Source organism: Homo sapiens, chromosome 14 (assembly GCF_000001405.40).
Source record: "Homo sapiens chromosome 14, GRCh38.p14 Primary Assembly".
NCBI classification, from domain to species: Eukaryota; Metazoa; Chordata; class Mammalia; order Primates; family Hominidae; genus Homo; species Homo sapiens.
The window spans coordinates 36,937,278-36,964,840 of record NC_000014.9 but is presented as its reverse complement, the minus strand read 5'-3'; the positions used below and the strand labels follow the sequence as shown (position 1 = coordinate 36,964,840).

Here is a 27,563-nt window from a genome sequence, read left to right as displayed (position 1 = left end):
GTTTGTAATTCTGATATAATAAAGTTGAATAGATGCGTTCATGTTGAATCATTTGTCTTCTTGGAATGTGTAACTAAATTATAGTTCTGGGTGAGTACACGGACTGGGATTATGTGATTATACTGCAGGCCCTGATTCTACTTATATTTATAGTCACTGCTTAATACCTAAATGTATTGTTTGAGTGTTGACAAGGTACCAATAATATTACTTTGTCCTTTTATTGCACTCTCACAAGAGGATCTTTAAGAACTTTACGCACATTAGTGTGTTATTCCCAGGATTATTCTTCCTGTTTTATAACTGAAGAAACTGCTTCTCATGGATATAAGTAACTTGTTCAAACCAAGTTTGTAATGTTGTTACAAAGCCTCTCCTGATTCCATAGTTTGACTGTTCCACCCTGGAGATTAACACTTGAAGTAGGCATTCTGCAATGGCTGTGGCCCAGAGAATGGTCATGTAGACCCATATTAAATTAAGAATTTGTTAACATACATGAGGGATCCACTTTGTTGAGTCTATACAAAAAGGGTTTGCTGAGCAAATGAAATAACACAAATATAGAGAAAAATTATTATCTCACTGTGTAGAAAGTTTGCCAAACTTTTCATCTGTGTTGGCTTACAATCAGTGTGCCAATTACAAATATGCTATTGATTCATAAATCAGGATGCATATACTTAGAAACATTTTGTTAGTATTTGGTTTGAATCCATGATAATTAGTATTTATGAGAAAGTAATAAAACTATATTCATTTAAAAATATATTTACCCATTTTGGTTTTTCATGGATTCAGACTGGGAAATTATATATGTGCATAAGAAATCTTGGAAAATGAAGGCGCTAAGTAGCCTTTGCAAATAAGCAAACATACAATTTCAAAAAAAAAGGTTTCAAGGGAGAGATGGAGAAGAATATCGTGGAACTGTGAAAGCAGCAATTTTAGTAGACAGGAAGAACCATTCTTTACCGAGCACTTTGAGCATCCTTCCACTTCAGTTAGCAACTTCCTTCACAAACAAAAACAGTGATGTTCTAGCCATGATCCCTCTGGGTTGCGCAGGGTAACGAGGGGTCACTGGGTACTCCTGGCACTCGTTGAGCAGGCTTGCGAAGTCGGAGCAAGCCTGGCCTGGCGCTAAGTAAGGATAGATGCACTTCTCTGCATGAATCTTCGGCAGCTCATGTTGCAGATAGGGTTAAAGGTTGTAGCGGCCCCGTGTTCCACTAGCAAAACATCAAAATGTTCCTTCTACTGAGAAGGTTCAGAATACCAGGTGGAATAACCTCTGTGGCCATGTAGGTTGGTTGAACTGTCTGTTTTGATCATAACCCCATGCATGGTCTTGCATTTCTTTGTGCTAATGGCAGATAGCACTATTATGGTGCCTGCATGAATAATCTATTATTTTAAAATATAAATTCTCCCATTACTCTGTCAGCCATAAATACCTTCTTTGCTAACATGCTGTTCAGAATCACTATAATCTGGGGAGGGCCATTTTATATTCTCTGTTCACATGATCTAAGCAGCATTTTTGCATGACTTTGGGGAATAAAACAGGAAAAGGGGGGAAATTTAAAAAATACAATAAGCTTAATGGCTTTTTCACTTATCGTTTCTTTAACCTCTTTAATATACTATGGGGGGATATGTACTAAGCTTTTGTGGAAAGGGGGTCCTATTTTGTAACCAAAGGAAAGTGAAAAATATTTCTGGAACATTTTGACTTTCAACCTCTTTAATGACTCAAAAAAATATGGAATAATAAAATAAAAACTCAAAGACTGCCAACTTAGGCCTCACAATAACTTTTCTGCCAAAAACTAAAAATACTGCTATGCATACAAAGGGTTCTAACCCACTACCAAAAAGAAAATTTCTGGCTTAGTCAAAACAACATACCTACTATCTCTACCTCAAATTCTAGAGTAAAGGAAAGAAGTAAAATTATAAATTATTAAAAATGAATTTCATGTGTTTGGTATGTCTAACCCCTAAAAGAGACTGTTATCCTTAAAGGCAAGAAAGAATGGCTGGTTACACGGTATTTTATTATCTTGAATCAAACTGGTGAATAATTTCTAGATTACTTTCTGAATAAAACATAAATTATTATCCTTTCTGGCTATTTTTCCAGATACTCTAGCAACATATTTAAATTTGATGCAGTTTGATTGTGTTTTTAAAAACACAATTTTTATGGATGGATCTATAGGACATTATGCTAAGCGAAATAAGCCAGACACAGAAAGAAGAGTATTGCATAAGTGAAATATTGGAAAAATAAAAAAGAGAGATAGAGAATGGAACAGTGGCTACCAGGGGTGGGGCTATGGGGTGGCAGGGAGAGGAAATGAGGAGACTGGGGAGATGTAGATCAAAGGATATAAAACAGCAGATATGTAGGATGAACAAATCTAGAGATCAAATGTACAACATGAGGAATAAAGTTCATAAAATTATATAGTGTCAGAGATTTTTGTTAAAGAAGTAGGTGCTCTTGTCTCACACAAAAAAGCAACTGTGTGATGATAGATGTTAATCTGCTTCACCGTAGTAACTATTTTACCATCAGTATGTGTCCCATAACATCATGTTGTAAACCTCAAATACTCTAATTTTTTAAAGATATTTAAAAACATTATACCAAGGAATAGCATGGGACCTGGTAGACAGAAACAAAGATATTAATGAAAATAATTTATATGTGAGGAAAATGATTTAATAGCAGGCTAGAGAAAGGATGAGTGGTTCGGAAAGAACCACCTTGGAAGTCGCTGCAGTTGTCCAGACAGAAGGTGAGCAGAACTCAGACTGGAGCTGTGGCAATGCAGCTGAAATACTTCCAGGAAGTGGCACCCCTAATTGCTGTCCTGGGGCTCTATTTCTTCTTCTATCATGGTTTTTATGGGAAATTATGTTTTCAGACATACAGACAGGAGGGACTCATCTGTCCTGGAGATAGCTCTCACAACTGCTCTAGCTCCTGGAGGATTTTAGGAATCAGAGAATACTTACCTCCCCAGGATTAGGGAGGGGTATGCCTCTCTACTTTCATGTGCAAAGGGCATTTGCAAGACACTTGAAGAGTTTCATAACTCTGAAAGGACCTATATTTCCCTTGCTCTTCCCCAGCATAGACCATAGCCTTGGGTGTTATCTGGAGAGCCCAGTTGCCATCTACCCCTCACCAGCAATGGAGCATGGGTGGTGGGAGAGGAATGGACAAGACTGAGGCTAAGGACAGTAAGGGAGCCAGCACCAGGCCTGGAGCCAAAGTGACAAGTCACTCTTAGGACCATGACTTTTTAAAGCGTCTTCCAGGTCTTGTATAATAGTGGTCACTTTCTCGCGAAGCCTCAGAGCACTGTTTTTGAAAACGTGGGCCTTGGATGTCCTTCATTAAAAACACGTACGGCGGTGAAATCCCATCTCTACTAAAAATACAAAAAATTAGCTGGGCGCGGTGGCAGGCACCTGTAGTCCCAGCTACTCGGGAGGGTGAGGCAGGAGAATGGCGTGAACCCGGAAGGCAGAGCTTGCAGTGAGCCGAGGTTGTGCCACTGCACTCCAGCCTGGGCGACAGAGCGAGGCTCCGTCTCAAAAAAAAAAACCAAAAAACGAAAACACGTGCGGAAGGCTTGCTAAAGCTATAGATACCTAAGTTTTACCCCAGACTTTCAGAATCAGATGCTCTGGGGGTGGGCTTTTTTAATTGATTGTGGTATCCAGGTGTGGGTTTTTGCCAGCTCACTCACATCATTCTGTAGATGAAAGTTTGAGAACCAACACCTCAAACCTCCTCACTCATCGTAACAGATTGTGATTAATTGGAGAACTAGATCTTTTACAGTGGGGACAGCATGACTGCTGTTGAATTCCATATGAGCAATTAGGTCATTGTGCATACTGTGTGCACTTTCCTATTTCTGATTATTGGCAAAAAGCAGAAGTTCCATATAATGAGAGTGGCACCATGTTTGGGGTGGCTTGGAGAGTGGACTCACCACTACTGTTTAGATAGGTGTTCCCTTGGACTTTCTTTTTTGTTTTGGCTATAACTGTGTTTGGTGCTGCTGAGTAGGGCTGTGCATGGAACTACAGGCCACAGCTTTACATTTCTTGCTTTAGAGGGATTTGCCATAAAGGTACTGGCCAGAGAATAACAATGAGACCACCTTTAGGCAGAAGGCGGGGCAGGGGAAGGACTGAGGTGGCAGGTTGGGGAAAGGAGGGTAAATTACAAAAGAAAAGGGATGGCAAGAGAATGGTGTCAGCACAGAGTTTGTATTATAAGATAGGACATTTATATGAAAAAGGCGTCCTTGAGAAATATAAAGAATTATTACATGCAAATCTTACTATGATTTGAAAAACATAGGCATCTATCTAGTATTATCTCTTACTTACCTCCCTCAGTTCTTGCCACCCCTCACCACTAACCCCAAATTTAGAAATCCTAGTTCTCAGTTTTATGAAAGCAAATTTTCTCAGTCCTGAGATATTCGCCATTGTTATCTTAGGAATTCCAGATAATTTTCTCAGTCACAAACACATGTCTATGTGTGTTTTAGTGGTCAAGCTAATGAAAAAAAGTATAATTGGATAGGAAGAGGATTCCTGTGACTAAAAATAGGAACAACATAAATTGGCCAGTGAAAATAGGTGAATAGACAACCATGTTTTGTACTAAATGATTAGATTACAGTTTTTCCTTCTAAACTAAAAAACAAAAAGATACATCCATGGACCTTTGCACTGTAGGCTTTTGTGGGTTTCATGCCCACCTCATCTCATTTTATGGGGAACAGTCCTACAGAGAAGCAGAAAGTGTATTCTTGTCCTAATTGGACAGATGGGGGATCTAACAGGCAGACATTATATGATCATTACATGCTGGACATTATATGATCAGCAAGAAGCAGAAGGAGGACTCCAGCTTGTTTCTTCTGGCTCCAAGTCCAGTGATCCTTATTTCAATATTCTGTCTTAACTCTTTTCTTAATATTCCAGGAGAAGATAGATGTTTGAGCCACTTTTTGATTGCTGATAATATTATTACAAAAAAGCATGGGAACAGCCAACATGTGTTGGTCTGTTTACCGGGAACTGGCAGAGGAATTGTGGTCTACATTGTGGAATCTAGATTCAGGAAATTCAGAGATATGAAAACAAAATGAGCAAAAAACCGGGTTGCCTTTTCTTCCTTTCATTTTTTCCCTTTGGTGTCTCAGACCCCTTAGTGACATGAGACCAGTGCCCTTTCTTCCCCATTTCTTTGGCTTTGTGAAGAGCCTACCCTCTCTAGGAACCCTCAGGCCCTGGAAAATGTGGGCAAGGACTGGGCATGCTCAGGTTTGCGGATTTTATTTCTCAGGTTGTAAAAGCAGGTGAAGCAGCACCTCCTCCACCTGCAGTCAGTGGGAGAGTACTGGGGATTAGAATGTTTAAAGACATTTCCTGGGGTTTGTTTTTAGAAACAGTAGATAGGAGCCTGTCCTGATTTGAGTGAGTAAGATCAGATAAAAATTAATGGGGATCTAACAGTCAAAGCAGGCAACCCCATTTTCCTTCACTGCATCATAGGGATCCTAGTAGAGTGGATGAAGGAAGGAGAGCTGTGGGCAGGCAGAGAAGGGAGCAGTGTGTCAGTGTGTCATGGAAACATGGGACAAATCCATTATGGCAGCGACACCCACTGAAAGCAAAATGAGCCTTGAATTCATGCCACATACTGTGTACTCCTCCATAAGACATTTGCACTGATAGTGAAGGCAACCACGAGAAGCACACGCCAGTGTTTTCCTCCTTCCATGCTTGAATAGGGTGGAACCATTTATTTACTGGACAACTAGAAGGCTAGGAGCTCGTGAGATCAATATGCACAGTCTCACCAGACAGCTTAAACAAACAGGCCTGCAGAAATGTGTTAATCTTCCAGGAAGCTGGTTGTAGAATACAGTTTTAGAGTGTGGTCTTGTTTCTGGAGGCTCTCTTCAGGCAGGCCTGGTTCTGTCCACTCTGTTTTGATTCATCTTTTGGCTGCCTCATGTAAGTTTTTAACAGCCAAGTGGCCTTGCTCTGTGTCCCCCTCCCTTCTGGCTCTGTTGCATGTGTGTGTGTGTGTGTGTGTGTGTGTGTGTGTGTGTGTGCACGTGTGCTTATGTGTACATCTCTACACACATGTATGTGAGCCAGTGTTCTGTGGGAGGAGATTGCCAGTCTCCCATATCTGGGTAAGGCCTCAACACCTGGGGACAAGGCTAGTTTCCACAAGGAAGAGTTAATAACTTTTAATATCTCTGTGAAGTTGGGAAGCTTGTCTCTGACTAGTGCTTGGTATTCATTGTGTAAAGAACCATGATGAAACACATACCTGCAGGATAACTTCAAAGGAGTTTAATCTTTGAGATTCTTAACAGGACAATTTTCTAAATGGCTTGTTCAGACTCACTTTACTTTTTATAATGTGAAATAAATGCCAATTACATGGGACAAAACTTGGAAATGAATGTTGCTGGAGCTGTAGTTGTCCATGTTTCTGTGTGAATCTTGTCTGTCTTAGGAGGGCCCAGGGTGTTGAGTATGATTACCTATTTGTGCTCTTTGGTTCATAGGCAGTTAGGCATTATGGGATGATGGAGGCAGTGGCAGGCTTGTTGGCAGTTTGGTTGTCTAGGCAAACACCTAGAAATGGCTTAAAGTATCCTCAGTAGCTGTTCTTGTGTATGATAAAGGCCTAATGGTTGAGCTAAAAAAAAAATGAGCCTCAAAAAGTAATTTCTGAAATATTCTTCCTTTATTTTCTGCTAACGTGAACCCAGCCATGTCCTATGTTATATATGTTCAAGTTAATCGCTATATTTTATCATTTCCATTGGAAAGATTAGGCTTTTGCCTAGAGTTACCCAGGAGAAAAAGATATATAGAATAATGATACTAAACAAAACCATACATAAATGAATATCATTATAAGAACAAGTTGCGTATAAATAAAACTATTTTCACGACCTGGCCAGAAGCCTATTCTAATGCTAATTATTAAGTGGACATAGTGAGTTACATTGAAAGGGAAATCATGTAGCATCCACTTTTTTCTCATCAAAAATATTGCTGTTTCAATGCACTATTTACACCAGCGGCTGCATTTGAAATCCTCATCAGTCAAATTTTGTTTAGGCAATGTGATTGATTTCTCAAATGTGGGGATTTTATGTCATTTTCATTGCAGTTGATGAAAGATGCTTTCTAACTTGGTGCTTGTCTGAGGAGAGGACTGTAAAGTCATAGAACTGTGAAGCAGAAAGGATCTATGGGGATCAACTGAGGTACCCCGTCCTACTCCCAACCCACTTATGTTATAGATGAGGACACTGAGATCCAGAGAGCTGAATTTCCTTATCCAAAGTCACACAGCACATTAATGGGCAAGCCAGGACTGGAACTCAGGGTTCCAGCTGCATTCAGCCTGTTTCACCCTAGCATCAGCTCTGAACGCTTTTCCCAGGCATCCCAGTGAATGCTGATTAAGGCCGCTCTTCCTCCCTAGGGTCTTCCTGGGTTTGCATTGCCCCTTCCTTGAGTCTCTGGATCTTTGCTAGCAGCTGCACCAGGCCCAGGAATGAGAGAGAAATGGGAAGTGGAGGAAAGAAGGGCAGGGGGAAAATGACTTTGGAAGAGTAACCTGTGTCTCTAAAGTAATGAGGTGGACTTTCTTTTGTGACCCACAACATTTCTATGATGCTCATAGACAAGAACCAAATACACTTTGGCAACAAATAGCATCGTTAGAATCTGCAATCAGCTTTTCAGTGTTGTGCCATTGAAAAACAATATGCATTTGGACGAAAAGCTCTGGTTTTATTCATTTCTGTGCATATAGATAGATGAATTTGAAGTACCTAGGAATTTTGGGCTTTTTTGAATTATTTGTACATACTTCTTTATCATCATGGCCAATCCACATGACATGATGTATAAATGAATGTATCTCTTTTTGTCATACTGAAACATAATTGCTAGATGATAAAACATTTAGCACAAACATTTCATAAAATCAAATTTCAGTTCTGTTTTTTTTCCTTCAGCTTTGATGGATATCCCCATTATTCGTAAGTTAATTCTGCAGAGATTCTTAGAGGAACTGATAAATATTGATAAAAGTGGTTTGAAGTTCCATGTATCTAAAAATGAACCTAATCTCTCTCCAGCTATTTAAAGTAGATATGTGATAAATACTCTCTTTGTCAAAAAAAATAAACGAATGAATGAATGAGCAAATGCTAGGGAGCTAAGAATGGCTGATTAAATTAACAGAGATTGGGCTGCTTTTTAGAAAAAACATTCCACCACATTGGCCTGATGTTATTTGGTATACACAGTAAGGTACAGTATGCATTACTAACCTCATTAAGTTCCAAATAAAACTCTATACTTTACACCATTTCTACGAGAGGTTTTATTAGATTTCCTTAACTGGTGTCATGTTTTTTGGTCAGGGCATTTTTAACCAGCTTCACATAAATAAAGTTCTATTTTGTCACCATGTCATAGTAAAATAAACTGCGTGTACTATGCATCTCTGCCAAAGCCAGAGCAGACGGGGAAAGGATATAAATGTGTCAGTATTCGGGGAGAGAAAACACATAAATGCACATGGCGACTCTCTTAACTCCGAGGCTCAGCGTGATGCTAATTCATTTGGGTGACATTTAGAAAGCTACTCCCAACATAAATAATACGTATATAGTGGGGGGTATCTCTGACAGACACAAAGTTGAAAAAAATGGCCTGAAAGAATGCACATCAGATTTTACAGGTGCTCAGAACATTAATGTACAGTGATGGATGACCTACTTGCTGAAGGTTGACATAATGTTGAATGGAATGTTTTGTTTATATCTGGTACCAAGTTTATTGACCAGCACCAAAGGGTAGGACCAAGCTGGGATTTGAACAGTCCCTACTTTTTGTATGTGTATGTGTGGAAACTGTTTTCTATGTCCCACCTCCTCACAGGCAACAGTTCTTAAGTTGTTTCACAGATATCATTCCACAAGATGAATTACTCTCTTCAATGAAAAAACAAAAAACAAAAAAAAACAACCTTAGGCCTATGTATTCCTTACCAGAGGTGCAAATCTTGATGTGTAGATGTGAAAAATCAAGAGAGGGGCTTTTACCACATTTATCATACATCTTTAATCTTGGTTTGTCATCTCTAATGTGCCTGCAGTTAAAATCTTCATGACTAATGGTGAGTTGCTACTAGCAGTGCCTGTGGCTAAAAAAAAATCAGAAAATCCAGAAATATAAGAGACCAACAAGTCAAGTAGGCCATCTAAATGACAGGATAGACTTGTCCCCAAGTGTCCTTTCCAGTATGAATAAAAAGAGTTATAACAAAAAATAGGAAAACTTTTGGTATCAGTCCAAGTGATAATTTTCTTTCATTACTAAGTGGGAAATTATCACAGTACAAAAGTAATCCTTTGGGAAAATCTTCCAAGTACTTAGCATAAATTCTTTCTTTCATAATGTCAGCCATTATACCTAGTTATTATAACCTCTTGAGCAATGGAGTGCATTCTTCTTTTTTGATGATTATACCATTCAAGTGAATTTTACCATGTCCATCTTTAGTTATTTTTAGTTTGTTTGCCCATTCATTCTTTCATTTACTCACCCACTTAACAAGCATTTATTGAATGTCTACACTAGGCCAGGTTTTGAGGAAGGTACAAAGACACATCAGACAGATAACTTTCAGATGGCTTCAAAAGTAGAGTGGAGAAAAAACATGCAAAAACTCCCCAAATATGAAGTAGAAAGTGGCTCATGTCCTTAGAAAGTTATATATAGGGTTGGGAGGTACATATGCAGAAGTAATCATTGGTTCTAGCTGGATGGCTCTGGCTAAACATCCTAGGAGTGGCAATATTTGAGCTGGGCCTTAAAGGATGCCTAGAATTTGTGCCTCCCTTAAATAGGTGGAAGTAGAGGGAAGTCATTGCAGGTACAAAGAAAATGAAGAAAGGTAGAGGAAGGAAAGGAAAGGACAAGTGGAGGAATCAGAAAATAATGGAATGGCTCAATCGAGCTAGTTAACATTTGCATTAGCCCACATATTTATCATTTTTTTGTGTGGTGACAATACTTAAAATCTACTCTCGTAGCGATTTTGAAAATACAATACATTGTTATTTACTATAGTTACCATGCTGAACAATAGATCTGGACTATTTCAGAACATCATATTATACATGATACATATATATGAATTTTATGTGTCAATTAAAAATATAATTCCAATTAAATATATATTATTTCTTATATATATATATGTATGTATGTGTTTTCCTTATAAAGAAAATAATGGAAACCTAAGTTGGGGTCAGATCAGCAAGGACGTTGGGAAGTCAAGCTAGAGATTTCAGGCCTTCCTCTGTAGTTAGTAAGGAGAAATGGAAAGTCTTTAGCAGACGAGGATTATGCTAAGGAGGACTTCTCTAGGATGGGGGGAGGATAAAGACAACAAAGGTGGAGAGGCCAGTTGGGAGGTCCTGATGAGAGGGAGAGAATTCCGTAAAAGGGTGTGGAGAAGAAACATGAGGCAGAAATTACAAAGGACAATCAGAGACATTTTTTACTGGGGATGATGCATCAAGATTGACTTTCAGGTTTCAGCTGAGTGACTATGATAATTAATAAAAATGAGAGCAGGTTTAGAAGAGATGGGACGATCAGTTTGGTTGTGGCCACCAGTATGATAGTCTGGTTCTACAGAATCATGTTGTATTCACCTTTGACTCTCCAGTTTCTAATACATTGTAGATGTCAAATAAAGTCAGAATGTTATTGAAAAAACTAATTATTCCATGTGAAGATGTCCAGTAGGCAGTTGGAAAACCAAGCTATTTACAATTTTTTTCCCTTCAGAGTGTCTGGCACATAATATACACTTAAGCATGTATTAAATATCTAATAAATTTAATATTTCTTAACCACAAGAGTGTCTAAAATGCCTATGTGGTAAGTATTTTTGAAGAAATTCCTCTATTGTGATGATAATTTCCGAAGTGACAGATTTATACTCTGTCTTTCCAATTAATAGCAAATGTAGTATTTGAAATACTGTTTATGGTCTTATGCTGAAAAAATTTTTATGTTGAAAAACTTTGTGCCAAAATGAGTTTCTGCCAGTAAGGAACACTAACTTTTAGCCATTTGTTTGCGATATGAAATAAAGAAAATTATCTAAGAATTTTTACCTCTGTTCATTTTGTCATCTACTGAATGTTAACCTACATTGTGCAGGGATTCATATTTTTTTCAGTTTTGAGCTAACCACTTATAAACTTCACAATCGTGTTTTGTTCTGTTTTGACTTTTTCTTTGTATTTTGTATTTCTGACTATATATGCTATCTATATGACTATATAGTGAGATGTATGACTAAATTTTATTAATATCATCTGTTTATGCCATCTTTATGTTATAAACAATGTGAATCTTTTGGGCTACATAGAAAAATATTAGTATGAGCTTTGTTATTTAGCTCAGCCTGCCATTTACACAAAGCAGCCCAAAAATATCTTGCTATATTTATATGAAATTCAAAAGTTGATGATTAAGAAACATTTTAAAGTTCAAGCACATTGCTGATTAGTAATAGCTTATAGTACATCTTGTTATCGTTAACTAAATATTTTCTGATATTCAACCCTTGATAACCAAAAGCAGTGTTTAGACATGGACCATAATACAGGCAATTGATACCTCAAAACTAAATAGATAGAGGCAGAGGTAGAATAGCAAAATGATAAAAATCAAATTCCACAACACCACTGAAGGATCCAGAGAACACTGGATAGCCACAGCTTGATGATAGATGAGTAACCAGATCTAAATGCTCTGTAAATAGCCCGTCATTTGAGAGAAGTCTTCTTGAATATCCCGTTCTTCATTCCTGAAACATGACAACTTGGGAACCAAACCCAAGCTACAGAAGGTGTAGTCTTTTTGCCCAAGGCCACACCCTTGCTGACTGGATAAAAATGGGACCCTTGTATTTGGGGATTTATTGTCACAACGCTAAGGAATCACTGTTTTTGTTTTGTCTTGTTTTTACCCTTAGTTATTTTATCATGGCATTCCCAAGAATTGTCAGTTTAAACCCCAAGGATCTGGAAAATGGTGGGACTTTTTTTAAGTCTAGACTTATTCGGTCTACAGTTTGTTTCTAATACAATGTCATTTGTCCTTGCTCAGGATGAGACTCCTACATTTAGTGACCATTTACATGTGATAGTATAGTAATAAAATTAAGAAAAGAATTCTACCTTTTAAGAAACTTATCAACAGAAACAATAGACATGTAAATATAAGAATCTTTAAGAACAAGAAATAATAAATGACTTCCTCCCCACAAATTGAAATTGACAATGTAGATATTTAAGCAGGAAATAGAATTTACATATAAATTTCTATTTGTTTCTATTTCCTGCTTAAATATCTACATTGCCAAAAACCAAAGGAAAGAAGACAATCATTTATTTATTCTACTCTGATTCTTTCTTTTTTCTTTCTTTCTTTTCTTTTTGAGATGGAATCTTGCTCTATTGCCCAGGCTGGAGTGCAGTGGCGCAATCTCGGCTCACTGCACCTCCACCTCCTAGGCTCAGGTGATTCTCCTGCCTCAGCCTGTGAGTAGCTGGGATTACAGGCACGCACCACCATGCCCAGTTAATTTTGTATTTTTAGTAGAGATGGGGTTTCATCATGTTGGCCAGGCTGGTCTTGAACTTCTGACCTAAGTGATCTGCCCTCCTTGGCCTCCCAAAGTGCTGGGATTACAGGCATGAGCCACTGCACCCTGCCTGATTCTCTTTTATTGGCCCAAGTTTACTCTGCTTTCATTGTACCTGAAGCAAGACTACCTGAAGCATGGGCAAAAATGAAGTCATTGCAGGAGTCCTCTACTTGTAGTATATGTAACCAGCGAATCATTTTGTGGGCTTTCAGAATGCAGGGTCTTAGCAGTTGTGATCTCTGGATAACCTAGAAGCCTGTATTAGAAGCTCTGAATTGATTCTGTGTTGTTTGTGTGTAGAATTGTGCAATATTTCCACCAGCCAGGCCTAGACTGGATCATCTTAATAGTTATTGAATTGCTTTAGTACTATTATTTTAAATTATTTGTTGATGCTTTTGCAAAACAATTCTTTGCAAAAAAAAAATGCATACCTTGCACAAATATTTAGACATAAGGACTTTGTTGAATGGACGTGTCTGTGGATAAGAGAGGCCCTATTTGTTTTATTTGCTCCAGCAACATGGCTAGAATAATCAAGGTCTGTTCATTGGTTTGTAAGGGGTTTGGCTTTGAGATGCAGAGAGTTCAATAATTTAGAGACAGTGCTGTGGAAAAAATAGTGGAAATAATATAACTAGTCAGCAATCCCTGCATTTCCTGTTTATTATTATTTTTTAACATTCTCTTTCTATTTTAAGGTATTATGTTGCTTGAATCCTCTTTCTAAACAGAATTGATTGCTTTAAAGTAGGCTATTTGGTTATAGTTTTTTTTTTTTTTTTGTAATGGCAGTAGAGAAGGCAAACTATTGTTAAACTATTGCTCTTTTTGTGTATTTTTAAAGAAGTAGTGAGTAGTTTTTGGTTAGTGGTTTAGTTACCAAAACATTGTCTCTGAAACAGATAGAGAAGACTGCCTCTAGGGTATATGACAGATGGGGTTGACTTCAGGTTGCTTTGTTTTTCTTCTGGAGAGTTAGGGGGCAGAGAGGGCTCACTGTGGTTCCTGCAGCCATTGCTGAGGAAATGGAGGGTGTAGAGCCTTGAGCTCCTGGAGAGCAGTTGTGGAGGGGAGCCTAGAATATGCATTCCTTGCTGCAATTCCAGGTTTTTCCAGAAAATGAGAGAGAGGTAAGAGGTCCAGCTGGCTCATTTCTTCAGCTAGGTATTTGCAAAACAAATAATTTGAGTATTCCCGTGCAATAAGAATGTCAGTTGGATGTTAGGTTGTGGGGAAACAAGCTGCTGACTCTGTATCAAGTAATTGATTAGCTTCATACAAGAAACTTACTCAGTATTTCCCACACTGCCCTTGAACTAGAATGCAAATTCCCAGTAGCCAGGGGCTATGTCTGTTCACCGTTTGCATCTCCTAAACATAATAGGAATTGTGAATTCATTTGCTAGGGCTGCCATAACAATATACCACAGACTGGGTGGCTTAAATAACAGAAATTTATTTTCTCTTAGTTCTAGAGGCCAAAAATCCAGGATCAAGGTGCCGGCAGGTTGGTTGCTGGTGGGACCTTTCTTCCTGGCTTGCAGATGGCAACTTTCTTGCTATGTTCTCATGTGACCTTCAGGAAGAAATATATCTTCGGTATTTCTTCCTCTTCTTATAAAGATATTAGTCCTATTGGATGAAGGTCCTTCTTACGACCCCATTTAATCTTAATTACCACCTTAACAGCCCTATCTCCAAATGTAGTCACATTAGGATTAGGATTTTAACCTATGAATTGGGGGGCACAGTTCAATCCATAACAAGCTAATCAAAGTTTATTGGATAAATAATGAACAAAATCATGGGTGTTATTCAGAAATAATATAAATGTGAAAGGTGACATGTGGTTTTATAAAGGTACCTTGCGACAAATTACATGGTTCAAGGTTTCCCAAAATATGTTCTATGGAATACTAGTCTCCTAAGATGCTCTGTCAGAACAGCATTTACAGTATTTAAATAGATTTGGAGAACTCTGCATACTACATCCCCTTCTTGGAGAGTCAGACTGTACATTACCGTTATAAAGTCTCTGATATGTACTTTGGAAAAGAATACTGTTTAATTGTATTTAACCCAGAGTTTTCTTGTACATGTTGGATGCAGAATGTGTCCAGAGCCCCTTCCCCCACCTTTTTGAAGAAACCCATTGTTGTCTATTTGCCTGCTTTGAAAAATGCTTCAACCCATACTGAAGGCTAAAAGTCTCAGAGTTGAGAAAAGCATCTCCTGTTTCCTCTGTTTTCCATTTACTGTCCCAATTCAACTCTAGACTTTTAGAAAATAGGAATCTAGAAATGGACATTAATATATAAACTTAAACTTGATATCATGGCAATAACAGTAAAAATAAAATGTGAAAGTTGTTCAACGAAGGAAAAAAAAATCCCATAAACAGGGAACTGACTGTAGAAAGGAGAAGCCCTTTGAGTAGGCATGGGGCCAGGCAGCGGGGAGGAAGTGCAGAGGAGGCAGGGGACAAGGTGGAGAATTCCTGAGAAAGAAAACTAGAGCTCATGGGAAAAATGACTTAACCTTTATTGTGCTTTAAAGACAAGTTTAAAGTTTATTTTAAATTGGTTTGGTTTACAAATGTATTCACTTTCTAAATAACTTGCCTTAATAATGTGAATTAAAAATCTTCATTGGGATACATACAAACAATTTTCACAGTATATAAGAGGCATGCCTTGGGGTGTGTCCATCACCAAGGTCAAGAGGAGAATGAAGATGATTACATAGATGACTATAAGTCAAGATCAAAGCTTCTTATAGGTATTACATTTCCAAAGATGAGAAGAGGGTTTTGAAAGGAATGTACTTTTGATTGTGGTGACTGAGACAAGTCATTATCTCTCTTTTTCTCCCTCAAAGAAAGCTGGACTGATATTCAGACACTGGCCTCTGAGAGAATCCAATTCTAATTCTGGCTTAACCAGAGCCCATCACTCGATCTCTGTAAGCCTCACTTTCCTTGTTTGTCAAATGCAACAGACTGGGCAAGATGATTTGTAAGTTCTCAACTGGTTTTCACATTCTGTGACTTTATCTTTTAGACCAAGTGTTGTCCTATAGGGATATAATGCAAACCATATATGACAAATCCAAACTTTTGAATAGCCACATTAGAGAAAAGTAGAAACAGGTGGAATTTATTTTAGTAATACATTTTATTTAACATAATTTAAAATATTAACATAATATTTAATTTAAAATATTAATGAGGTCTTTTACATTCTGTTTTTAGTATCGCGTCTTTGGAATTGGTGTGCATTTTATATCTACAACACATTTCAGTTCAGCCTAGCCATATTTCAAGTGCACAATTGCCACTTGTGGCTAGTGGCTGACATATTTGGCAGCATAACTTTAGACATAGAGAATTAGAAAGCGAAACTTTTCATCACAATTTGATACTGTGGAGTAACTGTACTCTGCTTTTTAATGTTGATCATTTTATGATGTTCTTCTACTAGATGTCTTTTTACTTTCATTATCTTCAAGCAGGGTCTTATTCAATGATTCTTTATTATTATTTTTATCTGTTCTCTGCTTATTACTACAGAACAGTTTTCTCTGAGTGCAAACTTGTTAGCTATGCCAAACTATCTGTGACAGATTTATAACTTATGCCTGCAGAGAATGACAAGCATAACTGAATCCACTTGTATGCGCTACCATTATATCTAAGGAAAGTAAATAAAGCTATATACCAACTAAGAATTTATTGTTTTCTGACTTGTATTATCCCAGTTAATTAGAGTGGCAAATAAAAAAATCGAAGCCACTGACTTTATACATATAGTCTGCACACCTAGGTATGTCATAAATAAGGCAGTAATTCTAGTTATATTTGTCAGGGAATGTGTACATGGTGTAGATTTAAAGTCAGAATTGCATTCTTAAGAACTAGGATTTCTAAACTGATGTGTGCACGCTTCTATCAGAGCTAAAGCCCCTTATAATGCCATATATTTTTCTGTGCTGTTATAAAATATTCATACTTTGGAATAATGATGGTCCCTTCTTCAAGGAAAAAGAAATATCTGGTTACTAACTCAACATTCCTTGAGAAGCTTTCACTATTTATTTCCACATACATATCATTTAGAATCGAGTAATGCCTGAAATGTGTTTTGGGTGCAATACCTCTAGGTCTTAAAGACAGTTCCTTCTAAGAGGAAAAATGAATATCGGATTACTAACCTAATAAAACCTGAGATGCTTTCACTGTATATGTTCAGATACATATGGTTTAATATAAAATACCCCCTAAAATGTGTTTTGAGTATCACATTGGAGAGAGAAAATGTATGCAGGTGACCAGAACACTCTGGTTTCAATGGCACAAAAGTAAATCAGACCTAAAATATCATCAGATGTGTGTGTCTATATATGGGGAGAAGCCATTCTGAAGCAGTGTGTGTCATGCATTACGGAGCAGACATGGTAAATCATCATAAGCTGAGGACCAGCTCTGTGTTTGTGGAGCAAAAACCCAGCCTTTCTTTGCTGGATAATAAATGATCCCAGGGCTGGAAAGGAGTCAGACATTTCAGACCAGCTGAAGACAAACTATCTTTGAGGCCAGTCTTCTTAATTCACCTGTACACATCCCACATTATTACTCAGGTGCTGAGCAGAAGTGCTTTTTGTCTTCAAGACTGAAAGACTCTTTGGTTTAAATTATGAACCTTCTCTGGTTTTCTTTCAGAAAGTAAAATAAATGCTGTAGTGGTTACTTGTTGTTGAAAGTTGTTAAAATACACAAGTTCTGCCCCATTTCCAGTGAAATGCTGTGACTTAAGAATGCCTGTTTATTGTTACTTGGTGTGCAGCTGAACTATGCAGGTAGATGTAATTGGATTCTGTTTCTCATTGCTTTATGCATTTCATTATCACTTATGGGCTGTTTCAAAAGGCTAGAATTGAAACCGCCAAAGAGTAAAGTAGTTGATGACTTAGAAACTTTTGCTGAACACATGAGGTGGGTCTAGGAGAGCTGGAGGATATAGAATAAAGTAATTTCTTGGCATTAAAAGCAATTATTACTAAAGATAAATAGTGTCCAGAATGAACTGCTACAAGACAGACTGAAAAAATACTATAATATTATGCCAGATAAACACATATAAAATATTAAAACATGGTCTGAGCACAGGTTGGTTTGTATAGTAACTCACTTCCTTTATTTGTCAAGTTATGTTTCATGGTCAGGCCATGACAAGCTGACATCCTGGAGGAATTATTGAGATTATGGGGTGGCCATCATTCACTGAACTGCTAGGCTGGACATTCGTTGAGCAAAACCAACTGTTACCTAGATTTTAATTAATTGGTCAGCTGAGAAATGTGACAACACACCTGAAGAAATTATTTAGGGAAGAAAAGTTTCACCTACCTGGTATTTAACATTAAGATATTTTTCTTAATTCTATTTATACCAGGCAGGCAAAATAGAAGTTTAAGGGCACATGTTAATGCCATTGAAAGATTTAAGGACACAAACACTAAACTTTCATTGGAATTACTATTGCTATTATTTACGTATGGAATCATTTATTTATTGGTATTAATAGTCAATCAAATATAAGTTTACTCATGGTAAACTTAATTAATTACATTTAAACTAACTACCCTCACTTTCTTTCTCCTGTACAAATGATGGCTACTGGATACTAAATACAGACATTATTTAGAAACAAGAGGACTTAATTCTTGAACATACCTATGGATTGTGAGATCCTTGACGCTTTAAAGCTTTTAACATTGTATTTTAATGATATAATTTGTACTACACTGGTACAGTATGACAAGAAGTAAGTTTGCATTTGCAAACTTGTCTCCTATGTGTTTAATATTTATAAGCAGTTGATAACACCATTCTACTTGCTTCTTGCTATAAATCTAAAATGTTTCTACTTACATCCTTGAGGTATTCACTAATTTATCTGATCCTTTTTTCTTGTGCTAACGGAAGCATTCACATAATAGGTACATCATAGGGCTAGAGGTTATGTTGCTAGCTTGCTTATGTTTATATATTCAAATTCTTATTTTGGACTTTGAATGGTGAAATTTTTTCACCTTTTTTCTTCATTAAATAAAGTTAGTTTTTTATTGTGGCAAAATACACATAACATAAAATTTACCATCTTAACCATTTTTAAGTGTATAGTTCAGTGGCATTAAGTACATTCACATTATTGCACAGCCATCTCCACCATTCATCTCCAGAACTCTTTTCCTGTTGCAAAATTGAAGTTCTGTACCCATTAAGCACTAGCTCCCCATTATCTTCTCCCCCAGCCCCTGATGCCAACATTCTATTTTCTGTTTCTATGAATTTGATTATTCTAGGTATATACCATATATAAGTGGAATTGCACAGTATCTGTCCTTTTAGGACTGGCTTATTTCATGTAGCATAATGTCCTCAACGTTTATTCATGTTAGCATGTGTCAGAATGTCCTTCCTTTTTAAGGCTAAATAATATTCCATTTGTATGGATATACTTTATTTTGTTTTTCCATTCATCTGTCGATGAACACGGGTTGCTTCTACCTCTTGCCTCTCATGAATAGCGCTGCTGTGAATGTGGGGGTACAAATATCTCTTCAAGTCTCTGCTTTCAGTTCTTTGGGGTATATGCCCAGAAGTGGATTTTCTGGATTATATGGTTAAAATTTGTCTTACACAGGCTAAAAATGAGATGTCTCACTTGGGCACATGGTATCAACTTGTATTTCTGCCTCCATTTGTAGCAATATTCTTTACTTTTATGTCTCAGTTTCTTCATTAAGTGAAGATAACATACCTTATTTCTCAGTAGTTTGAAAGGATTATGGGGACATTTTGCTGATGGACTGGGTAACCACTTCTTCTTATCCTCACAGGTAGTCCTGAAGAACTAAAAATAATAATAATCTGAGTCAGGGGAAAGAGGTTTTTGGTTTGTTTCGGTTTTGGCTTTTGGTTGTCCTGAGAAGACTGACTAGGATGAACACTCCTAGAAAAAGGAAGAAATCAACATGATTTGGCATGTTCTCAGCAACTGTACCAGCAGTGTTATGAAAAGGTCAAAATGATGATAAACCATCATATATTTCAGTTTGAAAATTAGAATTGATTCACACAACAAAAATAAACTGTGATGGGATGAGTCAGCTTCAGGCAGTGGACCTAGCTTTAGGGCATCTCATCTTGGGTCAGTGTTTGTTTGGCTTTTGAGGTAAGGCTCATTCTACTCAATAAAATGAGAGAAGATGGGACAAACTGTGAGAAAGGGAAAAATGTGAAATTTATCTTTGTTAAGGAGGCACATATGAATTCTGTGGCTTAGAAATGCTTTACAAATGTTCATGAGTTTTCTTGTGTATTGAATAGGACATTCGTAGTCACTTGTTTATGCTTACACTGGAGCCGGCCCTTGGAGCCCCACCCTTCAGGGAGAAGACTGTGGAACAGATGTCGCTCTCCACAGCCTGTGTGGATGAGGGAGAGAGGAGATCCTCTCACTATCTGTGATGTTTCCTCCCCCAGCATGGTTTACTAAGTGTTAGTCATCTCTCAAGGCCCAGCTGCCTCCTTCAGAAAGCCTTCCTTGATACCCTATGCCCTCCACCCGCAACCTGCCAACTCCTACCGCAAGCTGAAGGCAGTTTTCTTCCTCTGGACTCCCATAACAATTTCTCAAAGCCCACTGGGACAATCACTTTTGTCTGCTACTTGTCCACATGTCTTTCCTCCCCTATTAATGGCAGGCTATGGGTTTGTCCTTGCCCGACAGTATGCTGGGCTAGGGTCCCAGGTGTCGACAGGATTCAGGATATGACCTTGACAACTGGCCAGAGGCACCTGCATTTACCTCTGGTCACTCTTCAGTACAGAGGCCAACACGGGAGCATGGCTCTGTGATGTAAATGGAGAAGGATTAGAGCAGAATTTTTATATGTATGAATTTGGGATTTCAGAGGGAATTGGGTATCCTTTTCTTGGAGTGAATTAGGCCCAATCTGTTGCCTTTTATCTCCTCTAATAAATTTAGTGGTGATAATTTTATATTTAATATAAACATCTTTTACTATGTATTTTTTCAATTAATTAATTAAACTTGTTACAGGGAAATATGTTACTAGGAGGTTTCTTAGCCAGCTTTTTAAACAAAGGCTTCTTGCTAACTGGAAGGCCCAGTTAGGTGGTATAAGACTCATACCCTGTTCTTATTTCCAAGCCTTGGCGAAACCTTCCTGACCTGACTTTGCAGTGCTCTCTCAGGTTTGGTACTGTGTAAGCTACAAAGAGCCAAGTGGAACTGTCACTGGGTTACCTGGCATTTCCCCAGACTTTCACAAGGACCGATTTACCAGGGGCAGTTCATCTTGGTCTTACATATAGCAGCAGGGCAGGGACTCAGAGGGACAGAAGCAGCCCTCCAATAGTGTGAATACTTAGAATAGTTCATTTGTGTGCTCTGAAATAAACCCCTACATGTCTAAGACATGATACAAAACAAGCCTAGGGCCAGGTGCGGTGACTTATGCCTGTAATCCCAGCACTTTTGGGAGGCCAAGGCGGGCAGATCACATGAGGCCAGGAGCTCAAGACCAGCCTGGCCAACATGGTGAAAGGGTGTCTTTACTAAAAATACAAAAATTAGCCGGGTGTGGTGGAGCGTGCCTGTAATTCTAGCTAGTCGGGAGGCTGAGGCAGGAGAATCACTTGAACCCGGGAGGCAGAGAGCTGCAGTGAGTTGAGATTGCACCACTGCACTTCAGCCTGGGTGACAGAGTGAGACTCAGTCTTAAACACAGGGACAGTGACTAAAATCTATCTCCCTATGTAGGAAAATATAATAGAATTCTTTCTTCAGCAAATCATAGAGTCTCACAATTGGGAAGACTATAGAGTTCACTTGGTGGACTTGACTGATGTGTGACTCTCTCTGGCATGTAGTAGTAATTCCGCCTTTGCTCAGATTTGCGTTTCTGACTCATTGCCTTCTAAGGCAGAAGCAGCTCTCTACTGGAACCATACCTTCCCCAGTCCCAAAAGATGGGGGTGGACTAGGGGAGGGGCTCAAATCTAAATTTACCCTCCTACTAAAAAGTGCCATGAAGGAAAAATAACTATACCTCTGCACATAATATTTTAGTTTGAAAACTCCAAATTTAGTGTATAAGTAGTATAAGTACTATTTGGTTACTTATGTCCCAAATACAGACTGAACTTCACAAACAGCCGGTCACTTGATTTCATCAAAATTCTTTGCTTGATGGAGAACAGACTAGTGTGACCAGCTTTGGCAGAACATATCAAGGGAAAAGAAAATTGCACAAGTCTTTTCACCACGTTATATTTTTCACCACAGCTGGTCTTTTTCCTCTCCACCACTTCTACCCCTCCAAATTTTCTTTCTGTCCTTGCATAAAATTAAAATCATAACATTTGGTTGCATAGTTAGGATTAATTACTCCAGATACTTTTCATTTATCTTCCTTTCAAATATGTGTGATAGAAAGCATAGATTAAAATAATTAAAATGTGTTCTCCCAACGTGCCTGAGAGCCAAGGTAGACAACTGTCCTACCGCCGTCCGCCACTAGGTGCCAGCACGGTTCTGCTCCCTGCTTAGTTCTTGTCCCAAGATAGTTCAGCGAAGCTTCCAGCTTCTTTAAGAACGTGTACCTTGCATGTATGGCATATTTTTGTGTATTTATATTGTTTCAGAAATTGGACTAGATTTAAGCAAAAATATTCTCAGGACACTTGGCTTTCTAATCGCGAAGAATTTCAGTTTCAAAAAGAATTGAAGGTATAATGAATTTAAGTCATTAGAAACAGCTAGGTGATTTTTTTTTTTAGTTCAAACTCTTAAGCTCGGTGTTAATTGTAAGAGAATGAATAATAGTCTAACTAATTGAAAATTAAACACGTGTAATAAAAATAAATATAAAGTGGTGATGGCATATTTCCGGAGTCATAAGAACAAAATTTTACCAGTTTTGTTATTTTAGGTTTAGCTTTTTACATTGATACAATTATTTCTCCTCTGATGATGTGCATGTAATTTGATGTATCATTGATTTTGCTTCATCTAATTACATGTTCTAAGTTTATTTAAAAAAAATTTATTTAAACATTTGAAAAAATGTTTATTTCAGAATATTTCAAATAAAGACACTATTTTCACACAACCTCTAAAATTATGTATTTAAGTATTTTATTGTATACTTTTCAGTTTCTGTATTTTTAATTTACTTCTTGAGATAAAAATTTGAATTTTTCAATAATTAGCAGTTAATATTTTGACCATTAATGAAGAATAGCATTTAAAATTATTCTGTGAACAAAAGTATAATTATATTTAATTTTATATATTCTAAACTACATAAGAAAGTATAATAAAAAATTCCATGCCATAATTAAATATGCATCACAGATTTTCTGTGCGGAAAATACTGTTAAAATGCAAATTAATGTGGTAAAAACATTTATTAAATGTTGAGACTTATCTGATTCAAGATTTATATCAAAATTATATAAATATAATTTGAATTTATTTGGTGTAGTTTTCTTGATAATGTAAATTAAAGCTACAATCAATGCTATTGCTACAATCACTCCTATATTTAAAAAAGTCAATGTGTAAGTCAAAATACTCTCTATACAATTTTGTGCAGCATAATCTTTGAAAATGATGGAAGCCACAAAATGTTGACTGCCTAAACTATATATTTGAGCTAATAAGAGCATGATTTCTAAAAATATGAGATGATTTTTTTCCACTGTTTTGTGATATATTATGGGATAAGATCATTGCTGTCCCTGATCACATGCATTGTAGGAAGGCCCTCTGTGTACTCCCGGAGTTTGGTTTGATACTAAATAGTGTCAATATTTTGAGTAAAGCTTGAGTAAATTTCAGGAACTTTCCGGACCTATGTAGATATAATATATACTGCATAATTCTTTTACTTCCATTCTGATGGTTTCTTTTAATCTGTAGGAGTATTTTTGTGTGAAAAAAAGAAAAAAGAAAGCAATGAAATGCTGTTTAATCTGAAACAGGTTTTTAAGTTCAGTCTCAGAAGCAAGATCAAATGACCTATCCAGTCATTCTATATCTGCAATTCCTTCACAGTACTTTTCTCCAGTTTCTCAGATCAGCCCAAATCTTGGTTGGAATACTGGATTCTGTACTTTGTCCTTTTTCAGTATCAGACAATCGTAATATGGTCAGAGTTCTATCCAACTTCAAAGATGGTCATCTGAAAGTCTGAAATTCTTTGTTGCTGTGAAGTTCAATGAAAAGATTTCAGTGTTGAATTCAACCCAGACCACAGAACGATTAAATTCTTTGTTTTTGATACGTTGCATGGTAAGATATTGTGTAATCGAGTTGCTTGCAACTTTCTGACTTATTTTATTTAGAAAAAAATGACCAGGCTATTAACTATATATGGCAATTAAAGGAAAGTGCATTGAACATCCTGGCAACACATCACTTTTTTCTGTATTTGATTTAGGCCTCTGTAAAAGGACACCCTCATGCCTTTAAAGTTAAAATACTGTCAATCCCACCATAAACTCCTATTTTTAGGAGTTTTGATTTATAATGCAACCTTTAAAAAAAATACCAACCTACATTCAGAGTAGTATATTTTTTTAAATCTTAGAGAAAATTTTATTAAAATATTGGAATAAACATAGTGTCATTTCCTTTAATTTGGAAGAAAATGAATGAAAAAGAATCAGTGGTTTCAAACACATTTTTCTTCCTTTTCAACTCCAAACTAGCTTAGTTATATGGAAAAGTAATGTATGAACAGATTAATTGAAAGGGGCTGCTGGTAGTCGTTGTTAAAGTTGACTGAGTTCAAGTCTAATGATGAAACTTTGCAATACGCAGTTTAGAATATACACGTAACATTCTTTATTAGATTCTCATTCTATAATACTTACATGAGAAAGGAGGCTTGTACATACCTAAGGTGATTTTTAAACTCTGCTCTGGTACACTGCAGACTGCTATTGACGACGAAGATCTCTTTAGCAAATATGACGTGGAGGAGAACGCTGAATGTAAAACAGATATGTGAAACAATTAGAAACCAGATCTTCTTATTTCTGTGAGTTCACATTCGCAGTGACTAAAATTGTGCATGTTTTCCATTCATTCAGTTTTGATTTTGCTCAAGTGGTTCTAATGGCGCTGATTTTTAAGTTCCTGTGTCTTCTGAATCCATTTTATCCCCTTTTAATGAGCTTAATAAAACGTAAGTAGAATGGTTTGTATGCCATTTATTTTTATATGTATTTAAATATTAAATACATTTCCCTCAAATAAACCATTGGTCTTTCTGATATAAAAAGCATTAAAAAATAAAAGGTTTCTCTCACATAGGACAGCAAGAGGAAGATTTTCAAGAAGTTGGGAGAAAGGAGAGAGGTTGGGTTCTGGGAGATTTGACAAAGCTCCAGGTAACCTGGAGATAGTATGTCACAAAGATTTAGATGGACAACAAGATTATGGGTAACAAAAAGGGGACATAAATCATGTTTATTTGACATGGCCATTTAACAAAAAAAATGCTGTCTTAACAAGCAGTGCACATGAGTATATTCTATTTAATCGTATTGCAGTCAAACCCCTCACAAAAGAAAATATGCATGATAGAGAATTCGTATTTACATTCCCCCCCCACCCCTGGCTCCAGCTTATATGATTTGGAAACACAAACTGCTCCCCCAACCCGACTTTTTTTAGAATACAGAAATAAGACTTTCTTTTGTTTTTTCATGGATGAGTCCGACCACAAATTTAGGTTTACTAATGAGTGTTACAAATTAGCTGGGAAACACAAAATTTTGCAACAAAACCTGCCTTTTAAGTAAAGCTGTTATATGAAATTCCAACTCTGCACCAGAGACATGTTTGAGAAGACTTCATTAATTACAAACAGATTTATAATTTAAGCAATAAATTAATGTATCTGAAATACAATTCAGTTTACAGAACTTGGGTTTACATAAAACTTTTCAGAAACACAAGCTGAGAGTAGTGAACAAGAGTAAGCATAAGAGAGTTAAATCTGAATATATTAGAGACTGATTTATTTCAGTGATGCAATAAGAAATATAGATTTCTGAAGTTTTTTGTTTTTGTTTTTGTTTTTTTACTAATTTATGTTTTACTCATTACATATGCCATGTTTGTATACATGTGCCTTAAATTGATTGGTTTTCATCAGGTTTCTGTTGGGAAGTTTATGAGTCTAAGTTATTGTTCAGGAACCAAAATTCTTTGTGGTTGGTCCTGTTTGTTCATTAATTGAATAAAACAACGAGATGTGAACATGATGATCAGATTGGATTTTCTGTGCAATGATCCAGCTGATTGATTGGCAATCATTTATCATGTATTGAAATATCAAAATCAACCAAGCAGAAGAAAGTGTATTTGATTCTGCACATAGACTAAGGCTCAGCGGGATGCAGACTTAGAAGGCCGTAACACAGAGATGACAAGGACACCAAACCTGCTGCTCTGCTAAGGCTGTCCAGAGACTGAGTCTCAAACAGAACTTTGCCCTAATTAATGCACAAGGTGGTCTTTGCCTTATGAAGAGCTGTGTCATCCTGCAATGAGTGAACTCCACCTAATTAGAGTCCTAGATCAGTAGACCCCTGTGGAATCTTAGTTAAAGGCCTGGCACAGTCCACTCTGTGCCTAGGGGAGTTGATTTGTTACCATACGTGAGTCTGTTTAAATTGAAATCTAGGTGTTGCCAGGAGAAGGCTTCTCGAAGAAAGATGAAGTAAGAAAGGATTCAACACTAGGGCTCTATATGTAGCTTAACAGCATGCGTTCAGGGAGTATGTTTGAGAAAACAATCTAAATCAAGGGTTAACATGCAGACCATTTTTGCAGCATTTTGCTGAGCACCCAAAAGAAAAAACAAGCCAAACATTATATCGAGTTGCCATTAAAAAAAATTTTTTTTTAAAAAAAGTTGTTCTTCTCTCCAGAAAATGTCTGAAATAATAGATGGATTTAAAAAGGAAACACATTTAATTAACCTATACTTGTTTATTGTATACTTTTGTTCCTTTATTTCTCAGCTTTCCAATACAGACTGAATCATCAAACAATAATGGAAACACAAAAAAACTCTTTCCTTTCTGCCATGAGTTTCTGAGCATTTTCTATTCTTTCTTGCCTCATGGCCTTTGCATTTGCTGTGTCCTCTGTGGGGATGGCTTCTCTGGCTCCCTGTGTGGCTGATTCTTCCTCCATTCCCACGTGGACTAACCATCCGTCTCCTCGCAGCCCTATTAATGCTATCCGATCTTTGTTTGTTTCCTTCACAATCCAAAATTATGTTGGCATAGTTTACGTCATTGTCTCCTACCTCTCAACCACCGTAGTTCCATCATCTTGAGCAATGCCAGGCACACAGTAGGTTTTGAAAAAGAAAGGCTCAGATGAAGTGAGTGCTACCCTTTTAAATGTACACATCACATATTTATCACCAATAGGCCGCAATGGAAACCAATGTCACTCTCTACTATGTTGCCTCAAAAAAGGCTGTTCCAGTCACTGACGTTTGAATATGGTTAAGCGTAAGCATGTTTATTTTCCTCCTTGCTTTGTTTGTGAAGGCATTCCTAATTCAGTCTGAGGTCTTCTGGGAGGAAAAGCTCAGCTAGGGAGTACTTGTTCACTCCTTATCA

The 27,563-nt window shown here is 37.2% G+C and overlaps 1 protein-coding gene and 1 non-coding gene across 4 annotated transcripts in view; both read left to right on the top strand.

Moving 5' to 3' along the window:
* SLC25A21 (solute carrier family 25 member 21) overlaps positions 1 to 27,563 on the top strand; it is a 494,686-nt gene that overhangs the window by 207,766 nt on the left and 259,357 nt on the right. The window lies entirely within an intron of this gene.
* MIR4503 (microRNA 4503) lies at positions 12,450 to 12,532 on the top strand. The gene has a single exon (NR_039725.1). It is a non-coding gene; the product is annotated as a microRNA 4503 (primary transcript).